The sequence below is a fragment of the Homo sapiens genome, chromosome 3 (genome assembly GCF_000001405.40).
Source record: "Homo sapiens chromosome 3, GRCh38.p14 Primary Assembly".
Lineage (NCBI taxonomy): Eukaryota > Metazoa > Chordata > Mammalia > Primates > Hominidae > Homo > Homo sapiens.
This window is the reverse complement of record NC_000003.12, coordinates 33,842,229-33,858,387: the sequence shown is the minus strand read 5'-3', so window position 1 is coordinate 33,858,387 and position 16,159 is coordinate 33,842,229. Positions and strand designations below refer to the sequence as shown.

General features: G+C 36.0%; 1 protein-coding gene across 4 annotated transcripts in view; it reads right to left on the bottom strand.

The window, feature by feature from the left end:
• The window catches only part of PDCD6IP (programmed cell death 6 interacting protein), a 71,074-nt gene that overhangs the window by 11,316 nt on the left and 43,599 nt on the right, over positions 1-16,159 (bottom strand). For all 4 annotated transcript variants that reach the window (NM_001162429.3, NM_013374.6, XM_011533252.2 and 1 more), the window contains 5 exons: positions 14,165-14,276; positions 12,800-12,969; positions 5,652-5,900; positions 4,375-4,509; positions 3,128-3,222 (listed from right to left, as the gene is read on the bottom strand). In NM_001162429.3, the coding sequence (NP_001155901.1) occupies positions 3,128-3,222; positions 4,375-4,509; positions 5,652-5,900; positions 12,800-12,969; positions 14,165-14,276 (761 nt within the window). The remainder of the gene's footprint in view (positions 1-3,127; positions 3,223-4,374; positions 4,510-5,651; positions 5,901-12,799; positions 12,970-14,164; positions 14,277-16,159) is intronic.

Below are 16,159 nucleotides of genomic sequence, written 5' to 3'. Positions count from 1 at the left end.
CAATCTCCCAAGTAGCTGGGACTAGAAGTGCATGCCATCACGCCCAGTTGATGCATAAGTTAACTTAGAATTGACATCTTTATGAAGTTGAGTCATCCTGTCCAAGAACATGTTTTTTAACTTGCTCAAGCCTTCTTTTTGAAATACTGTTTTCTTCACATAGGTCTCATATATGACAAACTTATATTTTATATTTTATCCTTTTTGTTGCTACTGTAAGTGGGTCTCTTCATCTTATCCTCTATAGGTTTATTTACATGAAAGCCACTGATTTCTACAAATTATTTTTATGATCAACAACTTCAGTAATAATAATTTTATTATTTGCAGAGTTTTGGGGTTCTCTTGGGTTTTCAAGTAGTTGTACAATCATAATGTCTGTAAATAGTGCTAGTTTTACTTCTTCCTTTCCAATTTTTTAATTTCTCTCTCATGTGATTGTCTTGGCTGGTACTGCAGTATAGTATTTAAAAATAGTGCTGACAGTGACATTTGTTGTCTGTTCTTGACTTCAGAGGGAACTGTTTATAGTGCTTCTCCATTAATCACTATACTGAGTTTTGGGCAGAAATATATACACACACATACATATATATATTTTCATGTTACGGAAGCATCTATCTTCTATCTATTCTTATTTTACTGAGTATCAGAACACTCATTTTCTCAAATGCTTCTGCCTCATCTATTAAGACAAACCTGTGATCTTTCCTTTGATGTGAAAATACTGAATACTGAAACTGGAATAAATGCCCCCCTCCCCTTGGTCAATAATTATTTTTTAACGTCCTGGTGACTATTACTGGCAAATACTTTATTTAGGACTTCTGCATCCATATTCATAACTGAAACTGGTCTGTAGACTGTTTTGTATTAATCTTTGTTAGGTTTTTTTATCATTAAGACTAATATGGAGAATACTCATCTTTTTTTAGGCTGGGGGGGTGGCTCACCCCTATAATTCCAATTACCTGAGGTCAGGAGTTCGAGACCAGCCTGGCCAACATGGTGAAACCCTGTCTCTACTAAAAATACAAAAATTAGCCAGGCGTGGTGGTGCACACCTGTAATGCCAGCTACTTAAGAAGCTGAGGCAGAAGAACTGCTTGAACCCGGGAGGCAGAGGTTGCAGTGAGCCAAGACTGCACCACTGCACTCCAGCCTGGGCGACAGAGCAAAACTCCATCTAAAAAAAAATCACCTTTTTTTAAACATTTAGAACCATTTTTAAAACATTCTAATTATTTGCTTTTTATAGGTTTAGTAGAAATATTCTAAAAACAACTAACCTGCTCTTTGTTAGAGGTAGAAGAAAATAACTTCTCTCATGAACATGAGCAGAGAGGTGAATGAACATGAACATGTTCATTCTCTGTTCATGAATATGAACAGAGAGATGAATAAAGATCTAGTTGGCTGAAAGGGTCATCGGTATAAGACTCTTTCAGCTCTTTATATTTATTACTAATGAATATATGGCTTTTTATGTACCCAAAAGACAGTCTGGATATAAAATCTTTAGCATGTATTTACTATATGATATAAAATCTTTAGCTCATATTTACTATCCTTGAGATTACAGCAATCACTCCACTCTCTTCTGGCATACAGAGCTGCCAGCCTAATTTTTTTCACCTTTTTATAAACTGGCTTGACTGTTTTGCCTGACTGCCTAAAGGATTCTGCCATTATCTTTTAAGGCCAATAATTTATATGCCTTGATGCTGACAGTTCTTGTCATTTTCCCCTACCATATGATATCCTCTTTCAACAATCTTCACTTAAGAAAATGTTCTTGAGTATCATTAAATAAGTGTTCTGTTTACAGAACGTTAAATAACTGTTCTATCTGGTTTTTCTTCTGAGAGAAATTCAGTTTTGCCTATATTAGATCTTCTGTGCCCATTTTCTCTCTAATTCTTTCTTGACTTTGGTTTCATTTTAATTTCCTCATTTCTACTCTGTGTTCCTGTGTGTTCTTTAGTGTTTATTCGCCCTTTGTGCTCTTTCCCATGTCACGGTTTTATTCTTCCCTTCTACTTCTTTCCTGAATTCTGACACCTCACATCTTATCACTTCCTGTTTTCTTACCATATTCCTGCAGTTCTGGAATTTCTGCTCAAAGTGTTCCTTAGAGGAGCAGTCCCCAACCTTTTTGGCACCAGGGACCGGTCTCATGGAAGACAATTTTTCCACAGGGGAGCGGAAGATGATTTCAGGATGAAACTGTTCCACCTCAGATCATCAGGCATTAGTCAGAGTCTCATAAGGAATGCACAACCTAGATCCCTTACACGGGCAGTTCACAATAGAGTTTGCGCTCCTATGAGAATCTAATGCTGTGGCTGATCTGACAGGAGGTGGGGCTCAGGCAGTAATACTCGCCCAGCTGCCCGCCTGTCTGCCACCCACCTCCTACTGTGCAGCCCAGTGCCTAACAGGCCACGAACCAGTACCAGTCCAAGGCCCCAGGATTGGGGACCCCGGCCTTAGAATGATTGCCTCCTTACATTTGTTGTTGTTGTTGTTTTTGTTTAGCTCATGGTCAGATGTTTGCTCATAATTTTCACCTATTCTGTGACAATATTATTTTGGTAAATGTTCTTCATCTATGAAGTTTTATTAAATTTTGTTAATGTTTTCCACCTTTTATCAGCACTGTGCTACTCTGTATTGATTACTCAGCAGGAAATGAGTCGTATGTTAACTGGCCCTGCTTTCTCAGCAGCCTCCTTCTGAAAGTGATTTTGCTGGTATTCTCTGAGCTATTCATGCTGTCTCCTCCATGTTCTATAGCTCTAGTTTTATGTAAGGAACCTATTTGCCACTTCAAAATAAATTGCTTGTATTTACTGGCACTTCCTGAGATCTGCCACCTGAACTGTTTTTATCATTTCTGTGACCTCACTGTACTTCCTGCATCTAGAGTTTCTGCTTCTTTTCATCCTTTCATTCCCAGATTATGCAGCTGTTTACTTGTTGCTTTGTAAAATACTCTATCTAGTTCCTTCTTCCATGAGAAGAGGAAAATTGCTATCTCATACTACCAAGTTCATACCAAAAGTCTCTACATGATTTTTTAAAAGAAAATTCTTTAAGTACAATTTGGTACACAAAACAGACTTACTTTAAGAGTTCATCTCTTTCTGTCTTCCGTGCAAAAACTATATCACTGCATTTGTTCTGGAACCTGACCAGGATTTCAGTCAACTCATTGTAAAACTATAAGCAAAGAACAAATACAAGTAAGGAACAAGAACAATTTTTTAATCCAGAGAGTAATGTGATCTAAAGCTAATTTGTCAATGATAGTTAGAGCCGAAGAACTGAGATCTGCATGAGATACATTTATACAATTTACTAGGCCCAACAACTTAATATTAAATATGATCTAAGACTCCTAAAGAAAATAAAAATAATAAAAGCATTTTTACAGAACATTATCATAAAAAATGTAACAAGTTAAAAGATTCATGATCATGAAAACCTTCCTAATTCCTAGAGAAAAGTCAATTGTTTAATAACATTAAACCTATTTAAGTGGAAGGATTAGGTTTTCAAATTCACTACAGAAATGCAAGCATACTTCAGAAACCCTTAAAAGAATTTCTAAAGGCTCTCTGGAGGGTTTTCTCAGCTTACCTATTTAAACAAAGCATTTTAAACCAAATTAAAATGGCATTTTACTATCCTCTCTATTTGGAAGGCTTTGCAGTATTTTCACCCTCTCTTCAGAGGGTTTTACATTTTACCTACTGTATTTATATCAAGGTAACTTTATTCAGTGATTATTATGAAGTTAAGTACCAAAAGGAATTATGCATCTGAAAAAACTTAAAAATCACTGTTCCCTCAAAAACAAATTGGTAAAAAGAAATATAAGCGAATTCCCTAAACTTTTTAAAGGACAAGGCAAGAAAGTACTTACATATTCAGTAAGCCTTCTGACACTTGGGCAGGCCACAAGTCTGTCCTCAGCAAACCACCGCAGAGAACATAAAAGTCATGCCCCTCCGCTTTTCCATCACAAATCAGCTTTGACTACTCCTGCCCCTCAAAATTCATCAAATTAGTCAACTTCCTATCCCTTAAAAAGGTGTCATTGACATCTCTGCTAATTCCTGCTACCTGGAATATTTATACCCCTTTTCTGCCAGTTGAAATATGCAATTCATTCTTCAAAGTTCCCATGAAATGTTGCCACCTTCATTAAGCTTTCTCCCTCCTATAACAAACTTCGCAGCAGCAATGGCATTAAAGCTAAAATTCTAGGCAAAGAGCAATTTGGTTCAACTGGAAATACCACTTAACTTCCAAACTATGCGTTCACATCTGTACTTGCTAGCTATGGTTCCTTTTGCATGTACTTCATACCTTTGTGCCTTCCTTCAAATTAGCTACAAGTTCAACAAAGTTGTCATATGCAGTAGCTAAATTCTTCAAAACTTCTTCTCTTAAGTTAGCTTCATTATTAGATTGTTTCATTTTTGAAAATTCCTGATGTGAGACCTTGTTAAAAGAAAGATTTACATATTTACATTTATTTATAAAATTAATATAGCTCATAACATTTTTATTGATCTTTTCCAATTATGAAAATCATATGTAATTAAATACATATGCAAAATTACTAGAATACCTAGTACACTCTTTTGAAGCCTCATTATGCTTTAAATCTTTCTTAAGTAAAAATTTCAAAAATCCAATAGGAGTCAAAACAACCAATAATGATCACAGATTTCTATTAGTATATAACACTTGTAAAAAATATAACATGAAAATTATTTTACCTTTTGGAGTTATTTTATATCATATATAGATACAATGTTTAGGAGTAGAAATATATGTTTAATTTTGCATATTAACTATTAAAAGGGCAAACTTTCAAGTATTTGTTAGTCCAAACTACCTATCTGTAAACACGAAAACTAACTTCAAACTTCTCAACATATTTACTTTGCATTATTTTTTTAAAAAATGACTGAAGTCTGTATGTATGTTAGCCATACAATTAAAGGTATCAGTAATTCCAACTAATTTCGATTTTCCTCCCATATGGAAAAAAAACCAAAGCTATTAAAAACTTGGAACCATGAAAAATATCTGAAGTATCAAGCACTCCTAAGTAATATGCAACATTTTAGCCATAGAAATGACTTTGTTTCTGCAGGGCATGGTGGCTCACGTCTGTAATCCCAGCACTTTGGGAGGCCAAGGCAGGAGGATCACGAGGTCAGGAGATCGAGACCATCCTGGCTAACATGGTGAAACCCCGTCTCTACTAAAAATACAAAAAATTAGCCAGGCGTGGTGGCGGGCGCCTATAGTCCCAGCTACTCGGGAGGCTGAAGCGGGAGAATGGCGTGAACCCGGGAGGCGGAGCTTGCAGTGAGCCAAGATCGCGCCACTGCACTCCAGCCTGGGCGACAGAGAGAGACTCCATCTCAAAAAAAAAAAAAAAAGAAGTGACTTTGTTTCATAGATAAAACTGATGTGCCAAGTTTAATTTTACAAAATATACATGTATTAAGTTCTACTCTTAACTACAGATATTCTCCAATGTCATTTTCCTAACTGAATATAGGTTTAGTCCAGACATATCTTTTCTGTAATTTTTAAAACACAGATCTTATTAAATATATAAATTTCACCTGAATATTTTTAAGAAGTCCCTCCTGTTTCTTTAGAGATTCTTGGACTTTAGTTGTAAGACCTCCATAGACTCGATCTAGTTCAGTAACAGAAAGAGCTTCTTCATTTATCACACCATCTTGAGCCAGGGCTGTCAAAAACTTGCTTGTCATGTCAAAATTCACAGATTTCAAGTCATTCTCCAGACCCTCTCTTTCCTTCTTTACTTCATCAAGATTTGACAATAAGGATTTTAAGACATTTACAACCTAAACAAAAAAGACACCTTAGTTTAACTGCAAAAAAAAAAAAAAAAAAAGCCAATTTCGAGAAGGAAATAATATATAAAGGTTCATTCGGGCTGAGAGAGAGATGATTTCTCAGAGAGCCAAATATAAATTGAACGTCAGGTTTATATAGATAGACACTGTACCTTCAGTTGACTCATATTAAAACAAAAGCAGCATTAATAACAATAGCCAACATCTACAATTTACTGAACTCTTATGTGTTAGGCACCATGCTAAAACACTTCAGAAATATAATTTCATATATTCCTTACAATACCCCATGGGGTATATATATTTATGACCTCTATTCCAAAGATAGGGATAACGAGTCTCAGAAAAATTAAGTGACATGGTTATACAGCTACTAAGGGGCAGAGGTGAAATTTGAGACCTAAGTCTGACTAGTTCCAAAACCAATCTCTTAGCCACTCTACATTCTACTCCCTCCCAATCATGGCTGTGAAGCAGGGGAAGGTATGATTTTGCTAGGTAAGTAGATATCCTATTTTGCCTAGAGAGACTGAGAGAGATATAGAGAAACAGAGGTGAAGACAGAAATAGAGACAGCTATGAAGCAAGCATGGTAGATGGAGAAAGAAATAGAGAAAGATACAGATATAAGTGTATATACCACATTTATTTTATATACTGGGAGAGGAAAAGGAAAGAGGGTTCTTGTGCCTCTCTTCATACCATTAAGAGTTTTAGGCCAGATGTAGAGGTTCATGCCTGCAATCCCAGCACTTCAGGAGGATCACCTAAGCCTAGGAGTTCGAGATCAGCCTAGGCAACAAAGTGAGACCCCATTTCTACATTGAAAAAAAAAAATTAGTTGGGTGCAATGGTGTGCACCTGCAGTCACAGCTACTCCAAAGGCTGAGGCAGGAGAATTGCTTCAGCCCAGTGGGTCAAGGCTGCAGTGAGCCATGATCATGCCACTGCACTCCAGCCTGGGTGACAGAGAGAAACCCTGTCTCAAAACAAAATACAAAAACAAAACAGAGATTTATCTCTTGTATTCAGTCAAGACACTCTCTGACCTATACCCACCTGATTCATAAATACCCCTTCATATTCATAGTGTTCAAGTGCCTTCTAATGAGCACTTTCAAGCTGCCCCTTTCACTCATCTCTTCATACTTTGCTAAGACCACCAAGAACATCAACCCAATCTCTCTATTCTGCTTGCCCCAATGATGCTCATAGAAAGAAAACTGGGGGAAAGACAAAGGAAGAAGAGGACATCACGAGCCCTGTCTCCACCCCTGTCTTTCTCACTACCAGCAGCAATTCCAATTCCCATGGATTCCCCTACCAACTGCCTGTTTCTAAAAATTCCTATTCTACTCTTTCTTCCACAGTCTTAGTTAGCTCCTTGATAGGAATGTCCAAAGTAACATCCCTTTGTGAAGACCAGAGACTCGAGGTTTCTGCTAAATGTAGGTGAATTTCCTTTTTGGCCTTGTTTACATCCATATCTCCTAAACATCCTAATTTTAAAATGGAAGGAAAGGAAAGGAACAGAAGAGGGAGGGGCGGAAGAGAGGAAGGAAGGGGGAAGGGAAGGAGAAAGGGAGGGAGGGAAAGAAGAGGGTACAGGGGAGAAGGCTGTGGAAAGAGAAAGAAATATGATTCCTAGAGTCTAGAAAGCATCAAACCACAGAAACTCTAAAAGGAAGGAGGAGGAGAAAGAATCATACGTGGGTGGATATGACAAAGTCTGTTTAAAGACCTAGCAGAACTTGATATCAGACGATGTGAATAAAAGTTTCCTTCCAAGTGACTTCCAGGACATATTATTAAATGAGAAAAAAAGGATACAAAAGCATATACAGTATGCTGCAATTTGAGTAAGACAGAAGGAAAATCAGAAAATAAATATACATATACATAATATGTATATATGTATACATATGTATGCATAATTTGGGGTGGGGGTTGTTTGTTGTTGTTCTTGCAAAAAGAAAATCAGTAAGGACAAACCAGAAACTAACGAATATGGTTACTTACAGCAAGTATACAGGAAAGAAGTAGAGGGAAAAGGAATGAGGCTTCTCTGTATGTACCTTTTGAATCATGAACATTTTTTACACACTCAAAAAACGAGATTAAGTTCAAAACTTGAATATGGAAACAAATGGGTCTAACAAAGTGAAACGTAATTACATAAAAAAATGTAATTACATAGAAAATAAAAAACACTTCAACTCTGACTATACTCCCTTAGAGACCATAATGGACTTAGTTACTGTGCAATCAAGGACAGGTTACTACTAAGAAAATTCAATTTTCACAACTGCAAAATGGGCATAATAGTACCTATTTCAGGACTGTTGTGCAGACTGAGATAATCTATATAAAGTGCTCAACATAACTTCTAACAAAGGGTAAGTATTCAATCATATTACTTAGATTAGGAAGAAAAGCTAACCACAACTTCCATGGTATCCAACCAGACTGATACAGAGAGGGTCAAATAGTTAACAAATTCTGTGATATTCAAAAATGCAATAATTCTAACTTTCTGGGGAAAAAAAAATGCCATTTCAAACAACGAATTTATGAACGAACTTGTGGACTACCACACAAAGATAGAGATCCCTTATATTATGAACATCTTTTTAAAAAAATTCATATGCAGTACACTAGTTTAACATATTTCAGATTATAAGGCACTGGCCTCATTTTAACAGAGTAAATGAAGTAGAAAATGAATTAAACTGCTTCCACAAATGAATGACCAAGATAATAAGAAAACCACTGCCTAAATTTTCTTATAAATTCAAATTTGAGGTTTAACATGTTATCAAAGTATATAAATAATTAGAATCCTAGCATATTTATTTCTTATACACAACTCCAGCTACCTTTCAACTGCAATTAAATGTATCCCTTTATTAAGTTAGGCTGCCAGTGATGATCATTCAAACAAATACTTTTGTTTTGGGTACCATTCTAGATGCTATGGACACAACTACTAACAAAAACAGTCTTTTCCTTCATTTGGGGACCAGAGAGGATTAAATAAATATGCAAAGGGGAGGATTAAACAAATACACAAAAATAGAATAATGTGGGTAGACAATGACAAAGATGGAGAAGAGGTGACATCTAAGACTAATGAAAAAGAGGTAACAGCCACGGAAATGGGAAGAAAGCCCTGCACAGAAGGAAACGCAAATGTAAAAGTCCTGTGGCAGGCACAAGCTTGGCAGGATCAAAGGAAAGAAAAAAACGCCACTCTGGCTGAAGCATAGTAAACAAAAGGCAGAACAGGAGATGAGGTCAAACAGAATGGCAGGAATGGCATCACCTAGGTTGTCAATACTTTGTCTTTCAGATCAGGAACTTAAAAACTTTTTTGGTAAAGGACCAAACAGGAAATATTTTTGCCTCAGTAGGCCACAGTCTCTGTTGCAACTCTTTTAACTCTGCTTTGTAGTGTGAAAGACAATGTGTAAATGAATGAGCGCAGCTATGTTTCAACAAAAATGTATTAACACTGAAATCTCAATTTTATATAATGCCCACATATTAAAACATTCTTTTGACTTTTTTTCAGCCATTTAAAAAATGAAGTAGAAAGTAGAGTTTTACATTTTAAAAATGTAAAACTCATTCTTAGCTCACAGAACATACAAAGAGAAGAGGCAGGCTGGATTTGGCCCACAAGCCACAGCTTCCTGACCCCAGTTTTAGATTTAAAATCCTCTGTGGCATTTAACAGCACCAAGTACAATATGAGACAAGAAATGCCCTCAATGGGCCGGGCGCGGTAGCTCACGCCTGTAATCCCAGCACTTTGGGAGGCCAAGGTGGGTGGATCACAAGGTCAAGCGATCGAGACCATCCAGGCCAACATGGTGAAACCCCGTCTCTACTAAAAATACAAAAATTAGCTGGGCACAGTAGCACATGCCTGTAGTCCCAGCTACTCGGGAGGCTGAGACAGGAGAATTGCTTGAACCCAGGAGGCAGAGGTTGCAGTGAGCCAAGATTGCGCCACTGCTCTCCAGCCTGGGTGACAGAGCAAGACTCCGTCTCAAAAAAAAAAAAGAAAGAAAGAAATGCCCTCAACAAAATCTTCTATTTTACTTTTATAACCTTGTCATTTTATTTTCAGAAAAGGCAAATAAGCAACTATGTCTACAGCAACGAACGCAGAAACTTGATACATTTACCCTACACTAAAGGTAACCTAGAGGAGTTTTTTGTCTCTTTATGTTAGGGACCAAGGTACTCAGCACAGTTCTGGAATAGTAGGCCTTCAAAAAACACTTGGTGAGTAAATAAATAAACAAACAGATTCCAGTCATTGTCAATATGTCTATAAACTTTCTGTCATGAGAAATCAGGAGTAAAAGCTGTGTTTGCAGATCCTCCACTAGTCTGTGAATCCAAAAAAGGCACTCCTCTGGGAGGGCACACAGTTTTAAACAATTCTCTTTATGCTCTACCTGTAAGGAGGTAAAGGGTTTTTTTTTTTAAAGGTACCCCCTCCATTACTCCCAGCAGATGTAACACTTTGAGTATAACTGAACATCAACCTTGTGCAAAAAAATACATGTTCCTTCCTCTGGCTAGACTCAGCCCCATATACATTAGGGCCAAGGCTTGGCCAGCCAACCATAGACTGGACTTCAGGCCACAGTACATCATAGGCAACCAATCACAAGCAGTGATCCTAGGTATTTAATACAAAAATCTTTAAATACAAATTACCACTAGTCTGCAAAATTTGTCAGAGTATCTCAATGTCTAAAACCAGATGTCCAAAGAGACTGAAAATAAGTAACCAGACAGTAGGCTTCTTCACAATAAAAGAAAAAACAGCCCTACCATCAAACTTGGACTTTTTAATAAAACATGTACATTTGCATCACTCTAATCAGCAATCAAAAAACTGAGTTTTTATCATAAAAATTCTGGCTAAAATCCGTCATCAACTATTATAACCAGTCTGAAATAGCTTTGATAAACCTGATGCTTGCCTTATTTGATTAAGGCACATGACAAACGAATATACAGAGAGTACTGAAATTTTTGTGGTTACCCCGTCAAGAAAATCTAGCTTCCATAAAATTACTTCGTATTGACTATAAAAGTTCCTTTCTCCTGTGTAACACAAGTAAGGATTAATAAAACTGATATAACTGAATAAAATAGCAATATATCAGTGCATACTAATGCAGATTTTGCTTAGCACAAACCATTTTTGCTTTTCTACTGAAAGCAGAAGAATCAAAGGACGAAAGCCACATAATTCTGAGTCATGTACAAGACACCAAAAAGAATACAAAGAAAGTACTAACCAGAAATCTTTTTCTAAAATAAAAAAGGTACCAAAATTTATTGCTGTTCGAAGGGTCTGCAGTTTCTTCTTCAGGTTCGTTGTTCTTCACAAGTTAATCTTCTGACCACCTCCTTTTCTCCCCTATGTCCTCAAAACAATAACTCACATTCCTTGTTCCATTGGGTTCCCCCGTTAGATCCAGGTTCAATGCACATTCAACTATGTAGCCTTCTCTTCCCTTTGAGAGGTGCCCAGTACCTGTGCATTTACTCTACACTAAAGGTAACCCAGAGCAGTTTTTTGTCTCTTTATGTTAGGGACCAAGGTGCTCAGCACTGTTCTGGAATAGTAGGCCTTCAAACACTTAGTGAATAAATAAATAAACAAACAGATTCCAGCCATTCTCAACATGTCTGTAAACCTTCTGTCACAAGAAATCAGGAGTAAAAGCTGTCTTTGCAGATCCTCTGTACCTCGGATAACTCTCTAGACACAGCCACTACTCAGCCCTTCTCCGATCCTACACGTTTACTTTTTCTGCCTATCCACTCTGTTCTCATAATGTGCCAATCTCTTAAGAAGCCTCTGAAGAGAACTACTCCAAAATTACTGAAATTTAAGTACTTCATCTAAATCCTCGTAACATACTTCCTATACTTTCCCTGTGACATTTTTAAACTTCTTCCCTATATTACAGTCATCCTTGTACATGACTAATATTCCACAATGGATCATAAATTGAGGGTAAAGCCTGTGTGTAATTTGTATGTTAATTTTCCAATGTACCTACCATAGTGCCTTACACAGAGCAGATATCCAGTAGGTCTTGGAATAAATACATGAAATATATAAAATGCTTCTATGGAAAGACAAATAAGGAACAAAACTCAAACTTTTCAAAACTTACTATCCCAGGAAATTCACTTTTTTCAAGAAGTTTTCAGCAGTATTTCTTGCCCTTTCGCTTGTTTTCCTGTGCAGAGATTTGGGACCTCTATCTTTTCCTACTAACTTACCCTATCTCCCTGTGATAGGTCATTAAATTATACTTGCACTTTCTCTTCTTTTAGGACTTTCCAAATCAGATGCCCTACTATTCAATTTTCTCTTTCCTGTCATCAGTAGAAATACCATGATGGTGCTATCCATTTATTAACATGCACACCTTGTCAATCTTCCTTTCAAAGGTAGTTCCGGTGAAACAAGGTGGAAAGGAGTATAGAATAATGTAAGAAATAAAGAATTTGTGTATCTGGCTATACCCAGTCCTTTCATTTCAGGAAATTTCTATACTTCCAAGCTTCTCTCTTTTATAAAACCCAAATTAAATACTGTTGACCTATGAAGTATCTAAAATTTAGTTCAAAAAAGGGCATTCAATAAATGGAAGTTACTATTACAGGACAGTTAATATTAGTATAATTATCTATTACACAGTCTATATACTACTTTAAATATAACAACCCCAATTTATTTCTGCATTTTTTTAAAGTTGACAATAAGAAATTGGCAGTTCATTATATAAAATGGCTTGAATGTGGTTTTCTTAAGCAGATGACAACCTACATCAAAGTGTCCTTCTTACCTCACTGCCCTGCATGGTCTTTGCTGGATTAGCAGAAGGGATGGCAGCATTCAGCTCAGGCTCTGGCTTACACAAAAGCACGATGGTGTCACGATGAGACTGGTAACATTCTTTCACTTGTCCATCTGCCTGCACAGCTTTATCTAAAACTGTTCTGAAGTTGGTTCCCTCTGGGAGAAAATAAAAGTTTGCAGAGCACAGAAGTGATTCTAACAGCAACGTTTATCGGCTGGTTATATGTTGAGTTCTAGTCTCCAACTTTACTTATCCTCCCCTTCTATAGACCCCAATTCACTTCATAATAAAAACAGCTCCTGACAGTCTTTGCGTTCTCGTTTTTAGAAAGATGACAAAATCACTTATAAAATCAAAAGCATAGCTATACCTTAAAATACATTTGGTGGTTACTATCTGCCAAATAAAAGTTAATTAATATTAATCTTTTCCTATAACTCATGAATGAAGAAGAAATCATTCTCTCCAAAAACTGGTCCATTTATTTTAAAAGTATTCCTCTGTCAAAAGAGCAATGTGACTTAAAAAAAAAAAAGATTTTTAGAAAAATCTCAATAATATATGAACTTTTTACAAAGATAAATAAAACTAATCTCCAGCCACCATGAAGATAGCATTTATCTCAGCAAGCACAAAATCTTAATAATCAAAGTCTTAAGAAGCATAAATTTGGCCTCAAAATAACTTAAAGCTCATTTTTTTTTTTACCACCCAGGATTCACTACTAAATGAAAAAAATTACAAAGCCATAAATGTAATATGCTCTCATTTATGTTTTTAAAATATGCACAGGGGCCAGGCATGGTGGTTCAAGCCTGTAATCTCATCACTTTGGGAAGTGGAGGCAGGTGGATCACTTGAGCCCAGGAGTTCAAGACAAGCCAGGGCAACATGGTAAAACCTCGTCTCTGCAAAAAATACAAAAATCAGCCGGGCATGGTAGCACATGTCTACAGTGTCAGCTACTCAGGAGGTTGAGGTAGAAGGATTGCCTGAGCCCTGGAGGTTGGGGCTGCAGCGAGCTGTGATCCTGCCACTGCACTCCAGCCTGAGTGACACAGCGAGACCTTGTCTCAAAAAAAATAAATAAAATAAAATATGCACAGAGTTTGGAACAGAAAATGAAAGTTGGAGGATCATTTTAACTTTTCACTTCATACCTTTCTTAAAAATCTGTACTTCTGACAATTGGCAGATTACTTTTGTGAACTTTTTTAATCTTTATACTAAAACTGAGGAAAAACAGTTTCGGTAAAAATGAATTTACAACTGAGCCTAATTTAATCAAGCAAAAACGTGGGTCGAAATTGGGAATTTATTCAAATGAAGGTCATTTATACACATTTTTACCTGCTCTTAAAGGCTTATACAGTTCATTGGATGGTGTCCTTTGCCAACGTTCCTTAAATTTTGCTCTTAAATCATTATCGGTTGCTTCTTCTTCATCCAACAACCTTAATGACTTTAAAAGGAAGCAAAAAGAACCCTGAAATGTCATTTCTGGTATAAAAACTTTAATACATTTAATAAATGTTCATACACAATATAAGTGAGAATTTGGTGAGATGGGAATACTAGGTTAGAATATAAATCGACTTTTTTCTTGCAGACATCTAAGTTATAATGCATTTAACAAAAAGTCTTATAAATTTAAGGGTGAATTAGCTATCACCTTTCTCAGTAAAAAAAAAAAAAAGGAGGAATAAATAAGAGACTATTTACATCCATATATCAATTTAAAGAAAGTTTTAAGATTAAAATAAATAAATAGAAGCCATAAACAAAAGGGGAAAACTGATCAATTACATTAAAAAATATAAAATTTAGACTTTCATTCCAATACAACAAACAGAAAATTATGTTTAATATATTTTTAAATGCCTTTTTAATGCACAGATAAGATGACAGGATAGTAGGGGGCCAGAAACACAAGGAAATACTAATCTACCAGTAGACACAGTGCTAGCACCAACAATGTATGACAATCCCTGATAGCTTAGGACAAAGAATAGCAAACTTGTGTCAAACACCACAGAGTAAATATTTTAGGTTTTGTGGGCCACAGTCTACGGTACATAGAATTCTTCTTTTTTGACAATGCTCTAAAAAAGATAAAAATTATCCTTAACTAGTGAACCATACAAAAAAAGTAGGCCACAAGCTAGCACTGGCCCACCATCCATAGTTCACCAGCTGTGTAGTTCACCATTGACTTGGATTGTGAATTTAGAACATGAAAAGTCAACAAGAAACATAGGTAGGGACAATAAAAGGTGAGAGGTCAGATCAAAAGCACTCTCCACCCTCAAACTGGTATACTTCCAAACAGGTGATTCTCAGTGGATGAATTTTTAAAACAGAAAACTGCCCTACAAAAGAAAACATGCCTGTCTGGACCTTGGCTCTAAAGAAAAAAGAAAAAACAAGAAGTATTATCTGAGATTCCTGATCAAAAGCCTGAACTTGGGACTAGAAACCGCACTATCTGTGTGACACAAAGTCTTAAGATAAATTACTACTATAATTAAAAGATTATAAAAGAAAGGAAAAAACCTCTTAAGTTTGAGGAGGTACCAGGTATATAATGCCTTTTTATGGCAGAAGCAAACACAAATTCTTTCTAGAATTCACCTTAAACCCAGATCTCAATGAATTCCCACAAATAAGTACAGGAAATATGAATGCACAATCAAAACTCACTGAACACTAAATGCAATTCAGTATTCTGTACTGGATCTTGGAACAGAATGAGGAACACTGGTGGAATAACTGGTAAAATCTGAGTAATAATACTGTACCAATGTCAATTTCCTAGTTTTAACAAATGTGCCATGACCGCATAAGATTTTAACTTTCAGGGAAGCTAGGTGAAAAATATACAGGAACTTTCTACACTAAATTTGCAAAGACTCTGTAAATCTGAAACTATTTTTTAAAGTTTTAAAAAACAGTAACAAAAAAACTGAACACAAGAGAAAACAAGCCACCATAAGCAAGAATCAGCAAAAATTACAAATCATAGACTCAAACCCACAAAAACTACAGATATTGGAATTATAAGATAAATAATATAAAACAAATATATTTAATATATTTTAAGAAATTAGGGATAAATTAAAGGGTTTAACCTTCCAGGTTAAGACAAATTAAATTAAAAAGAAAAATCTTGCTACATGCTATGCATAAAATAAATCAATAATTACAAAGACTGAACAGTTTGTATGACAGTTGATTTCTCACAGTATACTAGTTTTACACAGTGGTCATTTGAGTTTCATTAGTGTGTACTTACTTACCCTTAAGATAAGAATGAAACCCATTCTCACTCAACCAGAATTTCTCTTA